The sequence below is a fragment of the Homo sapiens genome, chromosome 3 (genome assembly GCF_000001405.40).
Source record: "Homo sapiens chromosome 3, GRCh38.p14 Primary Assembly".
Lineage (NCBI taxonomy): Eukaryota > Metazoa > Chordata > Mammalia > Primates > Hominidae > Homo > Homo sapiens.
Genome location: NC_000003.12, coordinates 196,042,443 through 196,063,309, shown reverse-complemented (window position 1 = coordinate 196,063,309; position 20,867 = coordinate 196,042,443). Strand labels below are relative to the sequence as shown.

The 20,867-nt window shown below is 43.4% G+C and overlaps 1 protein-coding gene and 1 pseudogene across 5 annotated transcripts in view, besides 4 other annotated features; one reads left to right on the top strand and one right to left on the bottom strand.

Moving 5' to 3' along the window:
- The window catches only part of TFRC (transferrin receptor), a 32,807-nt gene extending 18,781 nt beyond the window's left edge, over positions 1 to 14,026 (top strand). For all 5 annotated transcript variants that reach the window (NM_001313966.2, NM_001313965.2, NM_001128148.3 and 2 more), the window contains 8 exons: positions 371 to 456; positions 665 to 728; positions 3,063 to 3,130; positions 4,678 to 4,736; positions 4,945 to 5,026; positions 8,009 to 8,230; positions 9,752 to 9,892; positions 11,126 to 14,026. In NM_001313966.2, coding sequence (NP_001300895.1) covers positions 371 to 456; positions 665 to 728; positions 3,063 to 3,130; positions 4,678 to 4,736; positions 4,945 to 5,026; positions 8,009 to 8,230; positions 9,752 to 9,892; positions 11,126 to 11,368 — 965 coding nt within the window. In that variant the 3' untranslated portion in view covers positions 11,369 to 14,026. The remainder of the gene's footprint in view (positions 1 to 370; positions 457 to 664; positions 729 to 3,062; positions 3,131 to 4,677; positions 4,737 to 4,944; positions 5,027 to 8,008; positions 8,231 to 9,751; positions 9,893 to 11,125) is intronic.
- Positions 4,804 to 5,305: an enhancer, noted in NCBI's record as "NANOG hESC enhancer chr3:195784876-195785377 (GRCh37/hg19 assembly coordinates)". NCBI's record gives its function as "activates a minimal SCP1, AML or CMV promoter by ChIP-STARR-seq in primed H9 embryonic stem cells {active_cell/tissue: H9 hESC(primed)}" and the evidence as "EXISTENCE:reporter gene assay evidence [ECO:0000049][PMID:30033119]".
- Positions 4,804 to 5,366: a biological region, named in NCBI's record as "NANOG hESC enhancer GRCh37_chr3:195784876-195785377".
- Positions 5,166 to 5,366: a silencer, noted in NCBI's record as "peak4990 fragment used in MPRA reporter construct". NCBI's record gives its function as "represses an SCP1 promoter by STARR-seq MPRAs in K562 erythroleukemia cells {active_cell/tissue: K562}" and the evidence as "EXISTENCE:reporter gene assay evidence [ECO:0000049][PMID:32103011]".
- Positions 7,280 to 7,805: an enhancer, noted in NCBI's record as "H3K27ac-H3K4me1 hESC enhancer chr3:195782376-195782901 (GRCh37/hg19 assembly coordinates)". NCBI's record gives its function as "activates a minimal SCP1, AML or CMV promoter by ChIP-STARR-seq in primed H9 embryonic stem cells {active_cell/tissue: H9 hESC(primed)}" and the evidence as "EXISTENCE:reporter gene assay evidence [ECO:0000049][PMID:30033119]".
- On the bottom strand, positions 18,056 to 18,615 carry ARL8BP1 (ARL8B pseudogene 1; annotated as a pseudogene).

The following is a 20,867-nucleotide window of genomic DNA, read 5'->3' as shown; positions in this document are numbered from 1 at the left end:
AAGATGTGCATCATCATGCTTACACTGTTTTCAATGATCTCTGGGTCCAGAAGTTAAGGAACTCCAAGAATGAAATTGTGAAAGGGTGACTACTGGCCCCTGCTATGTACTCAAAATCTTATTTGCAGATCTCCTATCTTGCTCTTTGTAGGTTACTTTAAAAAAAATTATTCCTATTCTTTTATTCTTTTACCTGGGGTCTCAAAAAAAGATTTTGTTAGTTTTTTTTTTCTTTTTTGGCTCAGAAAAAAAAGATTTTGGAATCTGCTATCTTGGAATTAGACCTTCTGATTCATCTTAAGTGGGATACCTTCCATCCTTGTCTGTGTATAACCTTTCCTCAGGTAAAGCTAACTTTTTTCTCTTTCAGATGGGTTTCAGCCCAGCAGAAGCATTATCTTTGCCAGTTGGAGTGCTGGAGACTTTGGATCGGTTGGTGCCACTGAATGGCTAGAGGTATTCTTTATCATCCCTTCCCATATTGGACACGAGCTTGTGGGCTTAGGCTGTTGTCCAGAAGTGATGTTTTTATAGGTTTGATTTTACCACTTTTGCCTTTGCGTTTAGTCTCAGTAGAGTCCAGAATTGAAAATGAATCCCTAATGCTACTGTATGTGATAAATAAACAGATTTATACTTATTAGTGTTTTCCCTTCTCTTCTAGGGATACCTTTCGTCCCTGCATTTAAAGGCTTTCACTTATATTAATCTGGATAAAGCGGTTCTTGGTAAGTATCCCTTTCATTAGCTGTGTATGAATTCAGGTAAACTTTTTTGAGATGGAGTTTTGCTCTTGTCGCCCAGGCTGGAGTGCAATGGCACGATCTCGGCTCACTGCAACCTCTGTCTCCCAGATTCAAGCGATTCTCCTGCCTTAGCCTCCTGAGTAGCTGGGATTACAGGTGCTCACTACCACACCCAGCTAATTTTTTGTATTTTTAGTAGAGACAGGGCTTCACTATGTTGGCCAGGATGGTCTCGAACTCCTGACCTCAGGCGATCTGCCTGCCTCGGCCTGGGATTACAGATGTGGGCCACTGTGCCTGGCCAGATAAACTACTTTGAAGTGGAAGAAAGCTTTTTTTTTTTTTTGAGACAGGGTCTCACTGTATTGCCCAGGCTAGAGTGCAGTGGCACAATCTTGGCTCACTGCAGCCTTGACCTCCTGGGCTCAGGTGATCCTCCCACTTCAGCCACCTGGCTAATTTTTTTTGTAGAGATGGGGTTTTGCCATGTTGCCCAGGCTGGTGTCAAACTCCTGAGTTCAAGCATTCTATGTCAGCTGCCCAAAATGCTGCGGTTACAGGCATGAGCCATTGCCCTCAGCCTGTATCTTAACCTTCCTTTAAATAGTCTGTCAAGTTACACAGTGAGCACAATTGCTTGTCTAGAACAGTGGGTAGTTCTCAGTGTGGCCCCCAGATGAGTAGCATTAGGAACTGTTACGAATGCAAACTGTCATGTCTACCCCAGACCTTTGAGTCAGAAATGGGAGTGTTGGTCTAAAAACTGGGCTTTTTGGGCTGGGCGCAGTGGTGCACGCCTGTAATCCCAGCACTTGGGAGGCCAAGGCAGGCGGATCACCTGAGGTCAGGAGTTCGAGACCAGCCTGGCCAACATGGTGAAACCCCGTCTCTACTAAAAATACCAAAATTAGCCGGGTGTGGTGGCGAGTACCTGTAATCCCAGCTACTCAGGAGGCTGAGGTAGGAGAATCACTTGAACCCGGGAGGCAGAGGTTGCAGTGAGCCAAGATGGCGCCATTGCCCTCCAGCCTGGGCGACAGAGCGAGACTCCATCTCAAAAAAACAAACAAAAAAACTGGGCTTTTTTTTTGGCAACCCTTGGGGAATAAAAACCTATTATTTTCTTAAGGACAAAGTATCCTGAAGCAAAAAAACCCAAACAAAGAAACAAAAAACTTTAACAAGCACTACAGGTAATTCTGATGGACTAAAGTTTTAGGACCATAAGTCTGGACTATATTGAGGTGAGAAGAAACTAAACTATGCCATATAGAATGGTACTTAGAGAGTAATTCACATCCTGTTACGTTGTGGCATCACTGATAGAAATATTGGATAATGAAACTTCTAGAAGAGTTTGAATGTTCACTGGCAGCAGAAAATTGACAAAAGGGTTTGAATGTTATTTAAAGTGCAGCTGTACATTCAACAGGAATGGGGTAAAAAAGAAAGTGCAGATGTAGCTGATGAGCTGAGAATAGTGAAATGTCTACATGGGGGAAAAAAGGAAAGAGTTACAATTAAACCTCTCTAGGTTAGTTATTTCCCTGTTGTATGTTTGCCGCAGAATGTGCTGAGTATAGCAAGCATACTATGTATAGCTCTAACCTGGGTGAACCAGAAAGTTAAACATGAAATTGCTAATGGGGGAGGCTGCACATGTGTGGGGGCAGTGGATTTATGGGACCTCTAGGTACCTTTCTCTTAATTTTGCTGCTGAACCTAAAACTGGTCTGATTTTTTTTTTTTTTTTTTTTTTTTTTTTTGAGATGGAGTCTCGCTTTGTCACCCAGGCTGGAGTGCAGTGGCGCCATCCCAGCTCACTGCAAGCTCCGCCTCCCGGGTTCATGCCATTCTCCTGCCTCAGCCTCCCGAGTAGCTGGGACTACAGGTGCCCGCCACCACACCCGGCTAATTTTTTGTATTTTTAGTAGAGACGGGGTTTCACTGTGCCAGCCAAGATGGTCTCGATCTCCTGACCTTGTGATCCACCCGTCTGGGCCTCCCAAAGTCCTGGGATTACAGGCGTGAGCCACCGTGCCCGGCCTAACTGCTCTGATATTTTTAAAAAAGGTGACTTGGATTAAAGTATGCAAACTCAAGGAGTAGTACGAGCCCACTTGAGTGAAGTTAGCTTAGTTGCTAAAGAGCTTGATACCAAAATTACTTTTGTTTACTTGATGAATGGGATAGTTGTTGCACAGGGCCACTGATCTAGATTACTGTCTTATTTGTCAAGTACTTATAGTTGTAGAAGTAGCAGTGTGAAAATTATCGGAATGGAGAAGGGGCAATGATAAAACAATTTATTTTCAGGTACCAGCAACTTCAAGGTTTCTGCCAGCCCACTGTTGTATACGCTTATTGAGAAAACAATGCAAAATGTGAGTATATACCTCATTACAAAAATGTATGACTTAATTTTTGTTGAATCAACCTGAGATAAAAAACACTGATATGTAAACCGTAGTCAGTAACAAAAAATAGGAATTGAGAATAAATTTTATAGCAGCGTTATTTAAGGGATACTTGCCTATTGAACCATATGAGATGAGGGCTCCAATCTTAAAGAATATGTTGTTTATTTAGGAATATATAACAAAATGCCATGAGGCCTAAGCTGTAGTGCAGGGGCCCACAGGGGATTGTCTATAGAGTCACAATGCTAAGGAAGGCTTAAATCAACTTGAACTATACTTTGAGAAGGCCGGAGGAAATATTCATTGAATAAACAATTACCATAGTTTTGAATGAGGGAGAGCATGTGAAAGAAAATATTTGCCTATGTGGGGTGGGGGGAGGGGAGAGGGATAGCATTGGGAGATATACCTAACGCTAGATGACGAGTTAGTGGGTGCAGTGCACCAGCATGGCACATGTATACATATGTAACTAACCTGCACAATGTGCACATGTACCCTAAAATTTAAAGTATAATTAAAAAAAAAATAAATAAATAAATAAAAAAGAAAATATTTGCCTAATGGGATTAGAGGCTGTATATTGGAGTGAGTAAAGTTAGAAACAGGTCAGATAGCAGACATTGGCCTTGATCCAAGAGATACTAGGGATTATAGGATCTCAAGCAAGGTGATCATGAATTTGCCAGTTAGGTTGGTGGCATAAGATGCACTAGAAGGAAGAAACCAGAAACAAGATAGGCATAGTGTGAAGCCCAGAGAGGGCTTTTACAATTGTGGGTAAGCCACCATGGTTTTGTTTGTTTGTTTGTTTGTTTTTGAGATGGAGTCTTCCTCTGTCTTCCTCCAGCACTCAGGCTGGAGTGCAATGGTGCGATCTTGGCTCACTGCAGCCTCCACCTCCTGGGTTCAAGCGATTCTCCTGCCTCAGCCTCCTGAGGAGCTGGGACTACAGGTGCACACCACCACACCTGGCTAATTTTTGTATTTTTAGTAGAGACGGGGTTTCACCATGTTGGCCAGGATGGTCTCAATCCCTTGACCTCATGATCTCTTGACCTTGGCCTCCCAAAATGCTGGGATTACAGGTGTGAGCCACCGCGCCCAGCTTTTATTCATTTTTTTTTCCTTTTTTTTTTTTAAGAGATAAAGTCTTGCTGTGTTGCCCAGGCTAGTCTCAAACTTCTGGGCTCAAGTGATCCTCCCAGCTCGGCCTCCCAAAGTGTTGGGATTGCAGTTGTGAACTACCCCACCCGGCCTAGGCCCACTTTTAAAATGTTAATTAAGAAGAAAACATTTTTTCCTCACCATAACTAAAGGAACTGACAACATGAGCCTAGTTAGTAATAACTTAAAGTTGAGATTGTTTTAACTATCATAAATAATTTCTTTTCAAGAAGATATAATACAAGTTTTTTATTTAAAAATTGTTATAGAGTAACATGTTAGTGACTAGCCTGAATAAATAAGTTCCAAAAGGTTAGTTTTAATGATAATTTCTTATCTTACAGGTGAAGCATCCGGTTACTGGGCAATTTCTATATCAGGACAGCAACTGGGCCAGCAAAGTGTAAGTTGAGAAAAGTGAATGAACAAACTAATAGAAAAGCAGAGATTCTACCTACTACATTAGGTAGAATCTAAATCTGTCCTTGCATTGAACTTACTTACACCTAAAGATATTCAGCTAAAGAATTTATTTTGGATGGGGGGACTAGCACGATAGAACAGTCTATTCTTTAAAACACTTTCTAAAGACACATTCTTTGTCTTTGCAGTGAGAAACTCACTTTAGACAATGCTGCTTTCCCTTTCCTTGCATATTCTGGAATCCCAGCAGTTTCTTTCTGTTTTTGCGAGGTAAGTCTGTTCATTTAAATGACAAATGGAGAGAGGCTCTCTAAAAGGAAGTGATCTGTATTTGGGAATAGGGCATTGCAATGGGAATGCCTGTGCTATAGTCAACTATGTACATATTCAGAGGAGTAAAGGAAAACAAGTTTTTAAGGACAAATGACGAGGATTACAAAATTACTTTGAGGTAATTATTCTTGGCTACCAAGATCAATAACAAGGATGACACCAGTCCAAGGTTGACAGGCAGTTGCTAGGCAGATTTTCTCACGAGAGAAGTTTTTTGGTGCAAGGTTGCAGTGGCCTTTGTGTAAGGTTGTAGTTTTTGTAAAAAGGAAAAAAAAAAACCCTTAATCCTTGTTATCAGACATACAAGGGTGAGACCCTTCTCTTCAGGGTTGCATTTTTGTTAACACTAGTGACTCCATTTTGATTTTGACAACTTGCACATATCTTAGTTGTTGGGTTTTTTTTGTTTGTTTTTTGTTTTGTTTTTTTTTTTTTTTTTGACAATGGTGACTTGCTCTGTCACCCAGGCTGGGGTGCAGTGGCCCGATCATGGCTCACTGCAGCCTCAAGCAGTCCTCCCCCTTCAGCCTCCAAACTGTTTGGATTATAGGCAAGAGCTACTTACTACACCTGGCCATGGATCTTCTTGTGTCAACTTTGAGACCAAATTTACTGCAGTGCTTAAAATGTTTTAAGAAGTTATACACATGTGCTGGATGTGGTAGCTCACGCCTGTAATCCTGTAGCAGGACAAGCCGCAGACAAATCCCCTCAGACACCGAGTTAAAGAAGGAAGGGCTTTATTTGGCTGGGAGCTTTGGCAAGACTCACGTCTCCAAAAACTGAGCTCCCCGAGTGAGCAATTCCTGACCTTTTTAAGGGCTTACAACTAAGGGAGTCTGCGTGAGAGGGTCGTGATCAATTGGGCAAGCAGGGGGTACGTGACTGGGGGTTGCATGCACCGGTAATTAGAACAGAACAGAACAGGACGGGATTTTCACAGTGCTTTTCTATACAATGTCTGGAATCTATAGATAACATAACTGGTTAGGTCAGGGCTCGATCTTTAACCAGGACCAGGGTGCGGCAGCGCTGGGCTGTCCACCTCTGCCTTTTAGTTTTTACTTCTTCTTTCTTTGGAGGCAGAAATTGGGCATAAGACAATATGAGGGGTGGTCTCCTCCCTTAATCCCAGCACTTTGGGAGGCCAAGGAAGGCGGATTACGAAGTCAGGAGTTTGAGACTAGCCTGACCAAAATGGTGAAACCCCGTCTCTGCTAAAAATACAAAAATTAGTCGGACATAGTGGCGTGTGCCTGTAACCCCAGCTACTCAGGAGGCTGAGGCAGGAGAATCGCTTGAACCTGGGAGGCAGAGGTTGCAGTGAGCTGAGATGGAGCCACTGCACTGCAGCTTGGGTGACAGAGCAAGACCCTGTCTCAAAAAAAAAAGTTATACACATGTAATTATTGCATGTTCCTTCATTATTAGTTTTAACATAGACTTGTTAATCTCAATTAGCTTAATTAGCATTTGAGTTTATTGCTAAAACTTCTTTATGAGTTTTAATAATGAGGCTTGGCCGAGTGTGGTGGGTCATACCTGTAATCCCAGCATTTGGGAGGCCAAGGCGGGTAGATCACTTGAGGTCAGGAGTTCAAGACCAGCCTGGCCAACATGGTTAAACCCCATCTCTACTAAAAATACAAAAAAATTAGCTGGGCATGGTGGCACATGCCTATAATCCCAGCTGCTCAGGAGGCTGAGGTGGAAGAATCGCTTGAACCCAGGGGGCAGAGGTTGCAGTGAGCCGAGATCGTGCCATTGCACTCTAGCCTGGGCAACAGAGCAAGATCGTCTAACAACAACAAAAAAAAAACCAAGGCTGAATTTCTTGAGTGATTGAGCAGTGGCTATCTATTGGACAGTCCAGCTGAACAGTATTTTCCTCAGGCTGGGTGCAGTAACTCACACCTATAATTCCGGCACATTGGGTGGCTGAGGTGGGCAGATCACTTGAGGCCAGGAGTGAGACCAGCCTGGGTAACGTGCCTAGACTATATCTCTACAAAAAATTTTTTAAATTAAGTGGCCCAGTGGCCAGCTGTAGTCCCAACTCCTTGGGAGGCTGAGGCAGGGGGGTCACTTGAGCTAGGAGCTTAAGGCTGTGGGGAGCCATGATTGCATCACCACGCTCCAGCCTGGGTGACAGAGTGACCTCGTCTCAAGGCTGCAGGGAGCCATGATTGCATCACTGCACTCCAGCCTGGGTGACAGAGAGAGGCCTCGTCTCAAGGCTGCGGGGAGCTGTGATTGCATCACTGCACTCTAGCCTGGGTGACAGAGTGACCTCGTCTCAAGGCTAGAGGGAGCCATGATTGCATCACTGCACTCCAGCCTGGGTGACAGAGAGAGACCTCGTCTCAAGGCTGCAGGGAGTCATGATTGCATCGCTGCACTCTAGCCTGGGTGACAGAGACCTTGTCTCAAGGCTGCGGGGAGTCATGATTGCATTGCTGCACTCTAGCCTGGGTGACAGAGAGACCTTGTCTCAAGGCTGTGGGGAGTCGTGATTGCATCACTGCACTCTAGCCTGGGTGACAGAGAGACCTCGTCTCAAGGTATGTTTCATGTATCTTCTCTTTTTTCATTGATAAAGGCCCAAACTTCCCAGAGAGAAAAACATACAGCCTTAAGGAATTTGGCTAGAAGTCTATTCAGGGCATATGATACGATAGAACAGGGATTCTGTAGAACCTGGAAGAAAGTAGTCACTCTAGGAGTAGGTTAGCTTGAGAGAAGTAGCAAGAATGTACTTAAAGCAGCAGATAATGAGATAGAATTGGGGTAAATTGCGGTAGGAATATGTTAGAAGCAAGGGTGGAACTGTCGTCACTGTTACCTCGATGGCGAAGCCAGAATGTGAGGCTCTTGCTCTTAGAACTCACGTGAGTACCATAGCCTCGCGTTGTCTTGCAGGACACAGATTATCCTTATTTGGGTACCACCATGGACACCTATAAGGAACTGATTGAGAGGATTCCTGAGTTGAACAAAGTGGCACGAGCAGCTGCAGAGGTCGCTGGTCAGTTCGTGATTAAACTAACCCATGATGTTGAATTGAACCTGGACTATGAGAGGTACAACAGCCAACTGCTTTCATTTGTGAGGGATCTGAACCAATACAGAGCAGACATAAAGGTGAGCACTGATTCCAATTACGTTTTTATTTTGCTGAATGTCAAGTATTTTGAAATGTGATGTGTTCCTGTGTGTTCCTGTTGGAAGGGTGATTGTAGCCATAGTACATTTTAAAGTGAACTGAGGTATAATTGTATGTAGAATTGGTAACTTGTTTGAGAGAAGTCGGGAGGCTGTGGATTAGAGACCTAGGACAGAGCTCAGCAGGTGTTTCAGAATCCAGAGCAGTGTCAGGTTTTCTGTCACTCATGTCTCCCAGGCAGCCCGTCAGTAGGACACGGAATATGAAGATCTCAGCAAGGAGTTGGGCTGTGTGCCTCTCGGGCGTGACCCGGATGGAAAGACAGCACAGCTAGCAGGATTCCATCTCGTAGTGATCTGCGCATCTAAAAGTCAAATATTCTATTAAACGAAACTGATAAGCAGGGTGAGGTGGTGCATACCCGTAGCCCCAGCTACTTCTGCTGAGGCAGGAGGATTGCTGGAGTCCAGCCCAGGCAACATAGCAAAATCCCATCTCTAAATAAATTAATAAAACTAATATTAAAGTAGCTTCCAGATTGTTTTATGGTACTAGGAGTTGATTTTTAACAGATCTCTTAATTGAAGTAAATCACTGACAACCGAATCTTTTTATATCTTTTTTATTTTTATTTTTATTTTATTTTTTTTGAGAGATGAAGTCTCGCTCTTGTCCCCCAGGCTGGAATGCAATGACATGATCTCGGCTCACTGCAACCTCCACCTCCCGGCTTTAAGCGATTCTCCTGCCTCGGCTCCCCAGGTAGCTGGGATTACAGGCGTGTGCCACCATGCCCAGATAGTTTTTGTGTTTTTAGTAGAAGCCGGGGTTTTACCATGTTGGCCAGGCTGAAGTGCAGTGGCGAGATCTCGGCTCACTGTAAGATGCGCCTCCCGGGTTCACGCCATTCTCCTGCCTAAGCCTCCCGAGTAGCTGGGACTACAGGTGCCGGCCACCACGCCCGGCTAATTTTTTGTATTTTTAGTAGAGCCGGGGTTTTACCATGTTGGCCAGGCTGGTCTTGAACTCCTGACCTCAGGTGATCCACCCACCTCGGCCTCCCAAAGTGCTGGGATCACAGGCATGAGCCACCACGCCCGGCATCTTATGTCTTTCTTGAAACTAATTGTAACTGTTGAAAATGGAACTTACCAGGTGGAAATAACTAAATCCTGAAGTACCTTGAACCAAAATGTTTTCCCCTATAGGGACATTTTCCCCCAAAAGGAGAATTGAACTGGAAACAATATAGTACATAGGATTATATAATTATGTTCAATTTCTTAATGAGAATGGTTTTCTTACATGCTGGGCTCAAATATGAGTGTATATCACAGTCCATAGAGCTTGGAACCCCTGTGCAAGGTGCTTTCGGAGTCTTGAGCTTATCTGCGAGTTCCTTTTATCAGAATCTTACTTAACGCACGTTAAATTAGAAAGGCATACAAAAGAATGTCCTTAGAAATAAAACTTCTCATAGCGAATAATGTCTGTTTCAGGAAATGGGCCTGAGTTTACAGTGGCTGTATTCTGCTCGTGGAGACTTCTTCCGTGCTACTTCCAGACTAACAACAGATTTCGGGAATGCTGAGAAAACAGACAGATTTGTCATGAAGAAACTCAATGATCGTGTCATGAGAGTAAGTGAACTTTTGGGAAAGGAGGAACTAAAGTATGTGTAAAATAACCGATAAATCTTACACTTCTGCAAAGTGGACAAACTCTAGGAGTCTAGAATTCCTTTAAGAAGGGAGCATTAATGGTTTAGCTGTCATTTTCTGTTTCTGCTGTCTAATTCAGAACTTAGTCAAACCTAGTCTTTTTGGAAGAGACTTGCTGTAAAACTTCCATGTATGCTCCAATGGGGAAAAGAATCTGAACACATTTAAAGTTTTCCTTTGTAAAATGAATCAGTTTCCTTTAAAAAAATTTTTTTTTTTTTTGAGACAGAGTTTCACTGTTGTTGCCCAAGCTGGAGTGCAATGGCACGGTCTCGGCTCACTGCACCCTCCACCTCCCAGGTTCAAGTGATTCTCCTGCCTTAGCCTCCCGAGTTGCTGTGATTACAGGTGCCCAACACCACGCCCGGCTCATTTTTTGTATTTTTAGTAGAAACGGAGTTTCACCATGTTAGCCAGGCCGGTCTCGAACTCCCAACCTCAAGTGATCCACCTGCCTTGGCCTCCCAAAGTGCTGGTATTACAAGCGTGAGCCGCTGTGCCTAGCCTCCTTTAGAATTTTAACCTTAGAAGATTAGCATTAGCCTGGTTCTCAGCATTCTTTTTTCCTTACTCTGCTATAGAAAGTCTGATCAGCTGGCTGGGTACAGTGGCTCATGCCTGTAATTCCAGTACTTTGGGAGGCCGAGGCAAGCGGATCACCTGAGGTCAGGAGTTCAAGACCAGCCTGACCAACATGGAGAAACCCCATCTCTACTAAAAATACAAAAATTAGCTGGGCGTGGTGGTGCATGCCTGTAATTCCAGCTGCTCAGGAGGCTGAGGCAGGAGAATTACTTGAACCCGGGAGGTGGAGGTTGCAGTGAGCTGAGATCGCGCCATTGTACTCCAGCCTGGGCAACAAGAGCGAAACTCTGTCTCAACAACAACAAAAAGCCGGGCACGGTGGCTCACACCTGTAATCCCAGCATGAATTGCTTGAACTCGGGAGGTGGAGGGTACCAGTGAGCCGAGATAGCGCTGTTGCACTCCAGTCTGGGCAACAAGAGCGAAACTCTGTGTCAAAAAAAAAAAAAAAAAAAAAAAGTCTGATCGGCATTCTTAAATTTGGGACATTTTACATTTGAAGTGAACTGTTGTTTTACTACAAAAGTCACAGGGCTGTGTAAATTGCCTTGTGTGTTGTTTTCGTAGGTGGAGTATCACTTCCTCTCTCCCTACGTATCTCCAAAAGAGTCTCCTTTCCGACATGTCTTCTGGGGCTCCGGCTCTCACACGCTGCCAGCTTTACTGGAGAACTTGAAACTGCGTAAACAAAATAACGGTGCTTTTAATGAAACGCTGTTCAGAAACCAGTTGGCTCTAGCTACTTGGACTATTCAGGGAGCTGCAAATGCCCTCTCTGGTGACGTTTGGGACATTGACAATGAGTTTTAAATGTGATACCCATAGCTTCCATGAGAACAGCAGGGTAGTCTGGTTTCTAGACTTGTGCTGATCGTGCTAAATTTTCAGTAGGGCTACAAAACCTGATGTTAAAATTCCATCCCATCATCTTGGTACTACTAGATGTCTTTAGGCAGCAGCTTTTAATACAGGGTAGATAACCTGTACTTCAAGTTAAAGTGAATAACCACTTAAAAAATGTCCATGATGGAATATTCCCCTATCTCTAGAATTTTAAGTGCTTTGTAATGGGAACTGCCTCTTTCCTGTTGTTGTTAATGAAAATGTCAGAAACCAGTTATGTGAATGATCTCTCTGAATCCTAAGGGCTGGTCTCTGCTGAAGGTTGTAAGTGGTCGCTTACTTTGAGTGATCCTCCAACTTCATTTGATGCTAAATAGGAGATACCAGGTTGAAAGACCTTCTCCAAATGAGATCTAAGCCTTTCCATAAGGAATGTAGCTGGTTTCCTCATTCCTGAAAGAAACAGTTAACTTTCAGAAGAGATGGGCTTGTTTTCTTGCCAATGAGGTCTGAAATGGAGGTCCTTCTGCTGGATAAAATGAGGTTCAACTGTTGATTGCAGGAATAAGGCCTTAATATGTTAACCTCAGTGTCATTTATGAAAAGAGGGGACCAGAAGCCAAAGACTTAGTATATTTTCTTTTCCTCTGTCCCTTCCCCCATAAGCCTCCATTTAGTTCTTTGTTATTTTTGTTTCTTCCAAAGCACATTGAAAGAGAACCAGTTTCAGGTGTTTAGTTGCAGACTCAGTTTGTCAGACTTTAAAGAATAATATGCTGCCAAATTTTGGCCAAAGTGTTAATCTTAGGGGAGAGCTTTCTGTCCTTTTGGCACTGAGATATTTATTGTTTATTTATCAGTGACAGAGTTCACTATAAATGGTGTTTTTTTAATAGAATATAATTATCGGAAGCAGTGCCTTCCATAATTATGACAGTTATACTGTCGGTTTTTTTTAAATAAAAGCAGCATCTGCTAATAAAACCCAACAGATACTGGAAGTTTTGCATTTATGGTCAACACTTAAGGGTTTTAGAAAACAGCCGTCAGCCAAATGTAATTGAATAAAGTTGAAGCTAAGATTTAGAGATGAATTAAATTTAATTAGGGGTTGCTAAGAAGCGAGCACTGACCAGATAAGAATGCTGGTTTTCCTAAATGCAGTGAATTGTGACCAAGTTATAAATCAATGTCACTTAAAGGCTGTGGTAGTACTCCTGCAAAATTTTATAGCTCAGTTTATCCAAGGTGTAACTCTAATTCCCATTTTGCAAAATTTCCAGTACCTTTGTCACAATCCTAACACATTATCGGGAGCAGTGTCTTCCATAATGTATAAAGAACAAGGTAGTTTTTACCTACCACAGTGTCTGTATCGGAGACAGTGATCTCCATATGTTACACTAAGGGTGTAAGTAATTATCGGGAACAGTGTTTCCCATAATTTTCTTCATGCAATGACATCTTCAAAGCTTGAAGATCGTTAGTATCTAACATGTATCCCAACTCCTATAATTCCCTATCTTTTAGTTTTAGTTGCAGAAACATTTTGTGGTCATTAAGCATTGGGTGGGTAAATTCAACCACTGTAAAATGAAATTACTACAAAATTTGAAATTTAGCTTGGGTTTTTGTTACCTTTATGGTTTCTCCAGGTCCTCTACTTAATGAGATAGTAGCATACATTTATAATGTTTGCTATTGACAAGTCATTTTAACTTTATCACATTATTTGCATGTTACCTCCTATAAACTTAGTGCGGACAAGTTTTAATCCAGAATTGACCTTTTGACTTAAAGCAGAGGGACTTTGTATAGAAGGTTTGGGGGCTGTGGGGAAGGAGAGTCCCCTGAAGGTCTGACACGTCTGCCTACCCATTCGTGGTGATCAATTAAATGTAGGTATGAATAAGTTCGAAGCTCCGTGAGTGAACCATCATTATAAACGTGATGATCAGCTGTTTGTCATAGGGCAGTTGGAAACGGCCTCCTAGGGAAAAGTTCATAGGGTCTCTTCAGGTTCTTAGTGTCACTTACCTAGATTTACAGCCTCACTTGAATGTGTCACTACTCACAGTCTCTTTAATCTTCAGTTTTATCTTTAATCTCCTCTTTTATCTTGGACTGACATTTAGCGTAGCTAAGTGAAAAGGTCATAGCTGAGATTCCTGGTTCGGGTGTTACGCACACGTACTTAAATGAAAGCATGTGGCATGTTCATCGTATAACACAATATGAATACAGGGCATGCATTTTGCAGCAGTGAGTCTCTTCAGAAAACCCTTTTCTACAGTTAGGGTTGAGTTACTTCCTATCAAGCCAGTACGTGCTAACAGGCTCAATATTCCTGAATGAAATATCAGACTAGTGACAAGCTCCTGGTCTTGAGATGTCTTCTCGTTAAGGAGATGGGCCTTTTGGAGGTAAAGGATAAAATGAATGAGTTCTGTCATGATTCACTATTCTAGAACTTGCATGACCTTTACTGTGTTAGCTCTTTGAATGTTCTTGAAATTTTAGACTTTCTTTGTAAACAAATGATATGTCCTTATCATTGTATAAAAGCTGTTATGTGCAACAGTGTGGAGATTCCTTGTCTGATTTAATAAAATACTTAAACACTGAGTTGTCATTTCTTTAGATAAATTTTTTAAAAAGAGCAGTTTTAGGCTCATAGCAAAATTAAACAGAATTCCCACACATCCACTGTTTCTGCCACTTACACATCCTCCATGACGGTCAACAGCTTGCGCCAGAGCGGCATATTTGTTACAATGGGCAGCCTACACGGGTGCACCATTAGCACCGTCAGCATCATTAGTCTACTGTTTACGTTAGGGTTTGTTCTACGGTTTTTGACAAATATGTAATATCATTCTAGTAGCTTACAGAATAGTTTTTATTGCTGTAAATCTTGTGCTCTGCCCATTCATCCATCTCTTCTATAAGGCCCTGGTAACCACAGATCTTACTATATCCATAATTTTACCTTTTCCAGACTGTCATACAGTTGGAATCAGAATATAGCCTTTTCAGATTGGCCTCTTTCACTAAGCAATAGCATTTGTTTCCTCCATGTCTTCATGACATGATACCTCATTTCTTTTTAGCACAGAACAATATTCTGTTGTCTGCAGTTACCATAGTTTATCTAGCTCACCTACTTACTAAGTAATCTTGCTTCTAAGTTTTGGCAGTTATGAATAAACTGATAAGCACCTGTGTGTATATCTTTTCTGTGAACATAGGTCTTCAGCTCTTTAGGTAAATACCAAGGTACATGATTGCTGCTGTCTTCTAAGTGGGCGATCTCAGCCCACTGCAGCCTCCGCCTCAGGCAGTTCTCCTACCTCAGCCTCCGAGTAGCTGGGATTACAGGTGTCTGCCACCACGCCTAGCTAATTTTCATATTTCTAGTAGACGTGGGGTTTCACCATGTTGGCCGGGCTAGTCTTGAACTCCTGATCTCAGGTGATCCGCCTGCCTCAGCCTCCCAAAGTGTTGGGATTACAGGCGTGAGCCACCATGCCCAGCCTCTATTGGCAATTTCTAAATATACAATATATTGTCACCATATACCACATATGTAATTTTATTTATTTTTGAGACAGAATCTTTGCTGTCGTCCAGGCTGGGGCGCAGTGGCGCTATCTCGGCTCCCCGCAACCCCCACCTCCTGGGTTCAAGTGATTCTCCTGCCTCAGCCTCCTGAGCAACTGGGATTACAAGTGTGGGCCACCACGCCTGGCTAATTTTTGTATTTTTAGTAGAGATGGGGTTTCACCATGTTGGCCAGGCTGATCTTGAACTCCTGACTTCAAGTGATCTGCCCACCTCAGCCTCCCAAAGTGTGTGATTACAGGTGTGAGCCACCACCACGCTCTGCCTCCTTTTTTTTTTTTTTCCCGAGACAGTCTCGCCCCATCGCCTAGGCTGGAGTGTAGTGGTGCCATCGCAGCTCACTGCAACCTCCACCTCCCAAGTTCAAGCAATTCTTGTGCCTCAGCCTCCTGAGAGGCTGGGATTACAGGTGTGCTCCATACCGTGTCTTCAAACTCCCTTGTACCTCAAGCAATGCACATCTCAGTTTTGGCTAGCCACATTTCAGGTGCTCAGTAGCCACATGGTTAGTGGACACCAGCTCTATAGCAAAAGGCGTAATTGTTGAGAGTTTTCTTATTTTGGCCTTCTACCGTGTGGTTACCAAAAAATCCATCACACAATTGAATCTCATTGCTATGAGTGCCAGCCAGGATTCTTAAGTATGGCCACGAAAATTGTGGCCCCTAGAATTGGAAGCCTAATTGCCTCACCTATGCCCCAGCTTTCCCGTGTCCAAATTAGCCACATTCATACCCTTGAGAAGCAAGATGATTATTAAACTGCTGTATTCTACGGGAGAAACTGCCTATGTGAAAGGTCATGGGTTAGGAAGCTGTCCTAAACAAATATTTGTAAAACACCTGGTTATCTGCAAGACAGCTTTGCCTAGAATTCAATATCAGATACCAATGTCTTCCTTGTGGCTGTCAACAGGTTTAGGTGCTGAGTTAAATAAAGCCTTTGCAGTTTGCTGCATTTGCCCTTTAAGCTGCCTCATGCTTAATCCACCCCAAATGGACAGCTTTGTATAATTTTCTTTTCTTTTCTTTTTTTTTTTTTTCTGAAATGGAGTCTCATTCTTGTTGCCCAGGCTGGAGTGCAATGGCGTGATCTCAGCTAACTGCAACCTCTGCCTTCCAGGTTCAAGCGATTCTCCTGCCTCAGCCTCCCCAGTAGCTGAGATTACAGGTGCATGCCACCATGCTCGGCTAATTTTTGTATTTTTAGTAGAGATGGGGTTTCGCCATGTTGGCCAGGCTGGTCTCGAACTCCTGACCTCAGGTGATCCGCCCGCCTTGGCTTCCCAAAGTGCTGGGATTAAAGGCGTGAGCCACCGCACCTGGCCAGCTTTGTATAATTTTTAATGCCTTTTTTGAAAATATTCACATACGGTCAAAGTGCAGAAAAGTCTGTATTAAAAAGTATTTTCCTCTTAGTCTCCAGAGTTGTCATCCCTCTAAATCTCCACAATTACCAATTTTTCTTTTTTTATTTTGAGATGGTCTCGCTCTTGTCACCCAGGCTGGATTGCAGTGGCATGATTTCAGCTTGCTGCAACCTCCGCCTCCTGGATTCCAGCTATCCTACCTAAGCCTCCTGAGAGTAGCTGGGACTACAGACAGGCAACACCATGCCCAGCTAAGCTAATTTTTGTATTTTTTGAGAGATGGGGTTTTGCCTTATTACCCAGGCTGGTCTCAAACTCCTGGACTGAAGTAATACACCTGCCTCAGCCTCCCAAAGTGCTGGGATTACAGGTGTGAGCCACTGGGCCTGGTCATTTACCGATTTCTTATGTACATTTTCAAAGTTGTCTGTGCATAAATGAGAATTCTATACCAGATCTTCCTAAAAGCATATATGGGGGCTCTGGTTCCACAGTCACCACATAAGCCTCCTACAACCTATCCCTCCTGCTGCTTACAGCCAGAAGCTCAGTAAGACGGGGGGAAAACTCTCCCAAACCTGAGATGTAAACAAAGGTAGGCAAACAGTGGAGGGGAGTAAAACTTGGAGAAGTGACCTCAAAAGGGAAAGAATTGGCAGGAACCAAAAGAGGAACAAACAAAAAAACTGGTGAAGTGGCATGCTGAGTCCAGCCATATCAATAATTACATTATTGACATGTTAACATTCTAATCAAGACTGATGATTAAAAAACAATCAAGGCCCATTTATATGCTGCCTATAAGAAACTTTAAAGACAGATGAATTGAAAGGGGAAAAAATACAATATGTACACTAGCATACTATGACTGGAATGGTTATATAAATATAAGATTAAATAGACTTTGAACAGATAGTACCGTAAAGATAGGAATATTTTATAATTGTAAAGAGAGCCATTCAGGAAGATAGCAGACTTATAAATACGTATGCACCTTAAAATACATGAAAAAGAAATGAAAATTCTGCCATTAAAATAGATTTTAACACCCATTTCTTAGCAGTAAATAGAGAAGCTAGACCAAAAAAATCAGGACAAATTATTTGAACCACTGTATCAGCCACCTCAATCTACTTGACATTTGTAGAACACCACATTCAACAACTGCAAAATATACTTTTTTTAGGTATATGTGGTATATTCAGCAAGATAGACCATATACTGGGTGATACGGTTTGGATTTGTGTCCCTGCCCAAATCTTAGGTCAAATCGTAATCCCCAGTGTTGGAGGAGGGGGCCTGGTGGGAGGTGGTTGGATCACGGGGGCGGAATGCCCCCTTGCTGCTGTCATGGTAGATCCCACGAGATCGGGTAGTTTGAGAGTGCGCAGCGCCTTTGCTGTCTTCCTCCTTCTCCAGCCGTGTGGGATGCGCCTGCTTCCCCTCTGCCTTCTGCCATGATGGCGCAGTCCCTGAGGCCTCCCCAGTCATGCTTCCCGTGTAGCCGGCGGAACCATGAGCCAATTAAACCTCTTTTCTTTATGAATTACCCAGTCTCAGGTAGTTCTTTAAAGCAATGTGAGAATGGACTAATACATTGGGTGGTAAAACAAGTCTCAATTTTTTTTTGTTTTGTTTTTGACTTGGAGTTTTGCTCTTGTTGAAGATTATGTAGCTCGTTTCGGGAAGCTTCTATCTTCTTACGATCTGCAGCATCTATCCTGTAAACAATAGCCTTGACTCGTCGCTGTCACACGGGCTGGAGTGACGTGGCGCGATCTCGGCTCACTGCAGGCTCCGCCTCCCGGGTTCAAGCGATTCTTCTCCCTCAGCCTCCGAGTAGCTGGGATTACAGGCACCCGCTACCACGCCCGGCTAATTTTTTGTATTTTTAGTAGAGATGGGGCTTTCACCGTGTTGCCCAGGCTGGTCTCGAACTCCTGACCTCAGGCGATCCACCCGCCTCGGCCTCCCAAAGTGCTGGGATTACAAGCGTGAGCCACCGCCCGGCCGGTCCTGGATCTTTATTGTGACATGACCTTTAGTTACTTTCCTCGTGTTGAAACCCACTGTGGCCGTCATATCTCCGCTGAATTCACCTGACGTGATGGCAGTGACGAAGGTGGCCTTGCCCGAGTACTGCAGCCCACGAGCATCGGCTCCATCTCCTCCTTCCAGACGAGCGAAGGGGACCGTCCGGCAGGCGGCAGATGAGCGCTAGCATGATGGCGGCTGTGAGCCAGGACGACCCTCCACAGGAGCAGCCTCCACCCGAGCCCACGACGGCTCCTCCAGGCCCGCGCCACACAGGCGGGCACAGGCCGGCGGTAGCGGCCTTAATTTTTTTTTTTTTTTTTAAAGACAAGCTCTTGCTATGTTGCCCAAGCTGGTCTTGAACTCCTGGCCTCAAGTGATCCTCCCACCTCAGCCTCGAGTTGCTGGGATTCTAGGTGTGAGTCACTGCGTCTGGCTCTCTGAACAACTTTATGTCCCCAAATTTGACAACTTAAATATAAGTAGACGAATTTATTGATATATTCAAATTACCAAAATTAACGTAAAATCAGGACATCTGAGTAGACCCATATATACAATTATTATTTTTAAATCTGCATGTCTATTTTACTTCCATCACAAAAATATTACCTATATAAAATTGTGGTCCACTTTCTTCTCCTTGACCTCAAATTTAACACTTTTTGTTCCTTTTTTTTTTTTTTTTTTTTTGGAGAGAGCATCTCACTCCCTCACCCAGGCTGGAGTACAGAGGTGGCTCACTGCAACCTCCACCTCCTGGGCTCAAGCGATTCTCCTGCCTCAGCCTCCTGAGTAGCTGGGATTACGGGCATCCGCCACCATTCCTGGCTAATTTTTGTATTTTTAGTAAAGACGGGGTTTCACCATATTGGCCAGGCTGGTCTCGAGCTCCCAGCCTCAGGTGATCCGCCTGCCTCACCCTCCCAAAGTGCTGGTATTACAGGTGTGAGCCACCACACCCGGCCAATTTCCACACTTTAATTTCACTCAAGTAAAAGCAGGATCACATTCCTGACATAAGAACTAATATTTCACATCATTAGTTTGGATTCGATATGTTCTTGATTGGTTGTTTCTCGGGAATAGTAACTCATCTTTCCTACGTGTTATTTCTCTTTTATTGATTGAGGAAATAAATGTAATGACCATCATAGATCTGTGACGAATATCTCTTTCCTGTGTTCAGTAAGACAGGTGTACATAGGTGTAATTCAAAACCGTAACGACGCCGGGCGCAGCAGCTCACACCGGTAATCCTAACACTTTGGGAGGCCAAGATGGGTGGATCACTTGAGGTCAGGAGTTCGAGACCAGCCTGGCCAACATGGTGAAGCCGCACGTCTACTAAAAATACAAAAATTACCTGGGCGTTGGTGGTGCGTGCCTGTTATCCCAGCTACTTGAGAGGCTGAGGCAGGAGAATTGCTTGAACCTGGGAGGCAGAGGTTATGGTGAGCTGAGACTGCGCCACTGCACTCCAGCCTGGGCAACAAGAGCGAAACCCCACCTCACAACTCAATTACACAAACTTTTTTAGAACATAGAGGAGGAACAATTGTCCAACTTGTTATGAAGCCAACATAACATGCCCAAAACTAACAAAGATAGTATAAAAACAAAAATTACAGACCAATATTTTCATGAATATATGTGCAAAAATCCTTCACAAAATACAAGCAAATTGAATCCAATATATCATGACCAAGTAGAGTTTATTACAGGAGTGCAAGTGTAGTTTAACATTAAAAAATCAGTATATCTGGCAATTCCATGCGTATGTATATATCCAAGATAAATGAAAACATGTCCACATAAAAATGTATATGGGAATGTTCATAGCAGCATTATTTATAATAGCCTCAAATTGGAAACAGCCCAAAAGTCTATCACCAGATGAACAAATAAACAAAATATGATGTAAGCACACAAGGGAATACGATATAAGCACACATGGGAATACGACGTAAGCACACAAGGGAATATGATGTAAGCACACAAGGGAATATGATGTAAGCACACAAGGGAATATGCTTTGGCAATGAAAAGAAATGGAGTGATGTCATAGGTGGTGGTATATTAGGAAGTGCCAGGAAGCCATCTTTCCACTTAACGACCATTGCGTTGTCAGGAACTGTTCCGAGTCATTATTGTGGAACTGGGGTCTAGTTGAACATGTGCAACATCCAGGAGAGAACCCAATTTTTGGCTTTGTCGGTAGTGCCTCAAATCCCCACTTCCCAGCCCCACAGCAGGCAGCTGAGAGAAGGGTGGTCTCTATTCCTGGGGTGGCTTCCGGAAGCCGGGGTGGGCAATAAGAACCTTGTCTTCCAAACCTCAGGATTCTGTATTTTGATGGCTGATTGCTGCTTTTGACTGGGGAAGGTGACTGCTGAGGTAATAGAACAAAAACCTTAGTGACCACACATAACAAGGCATGCT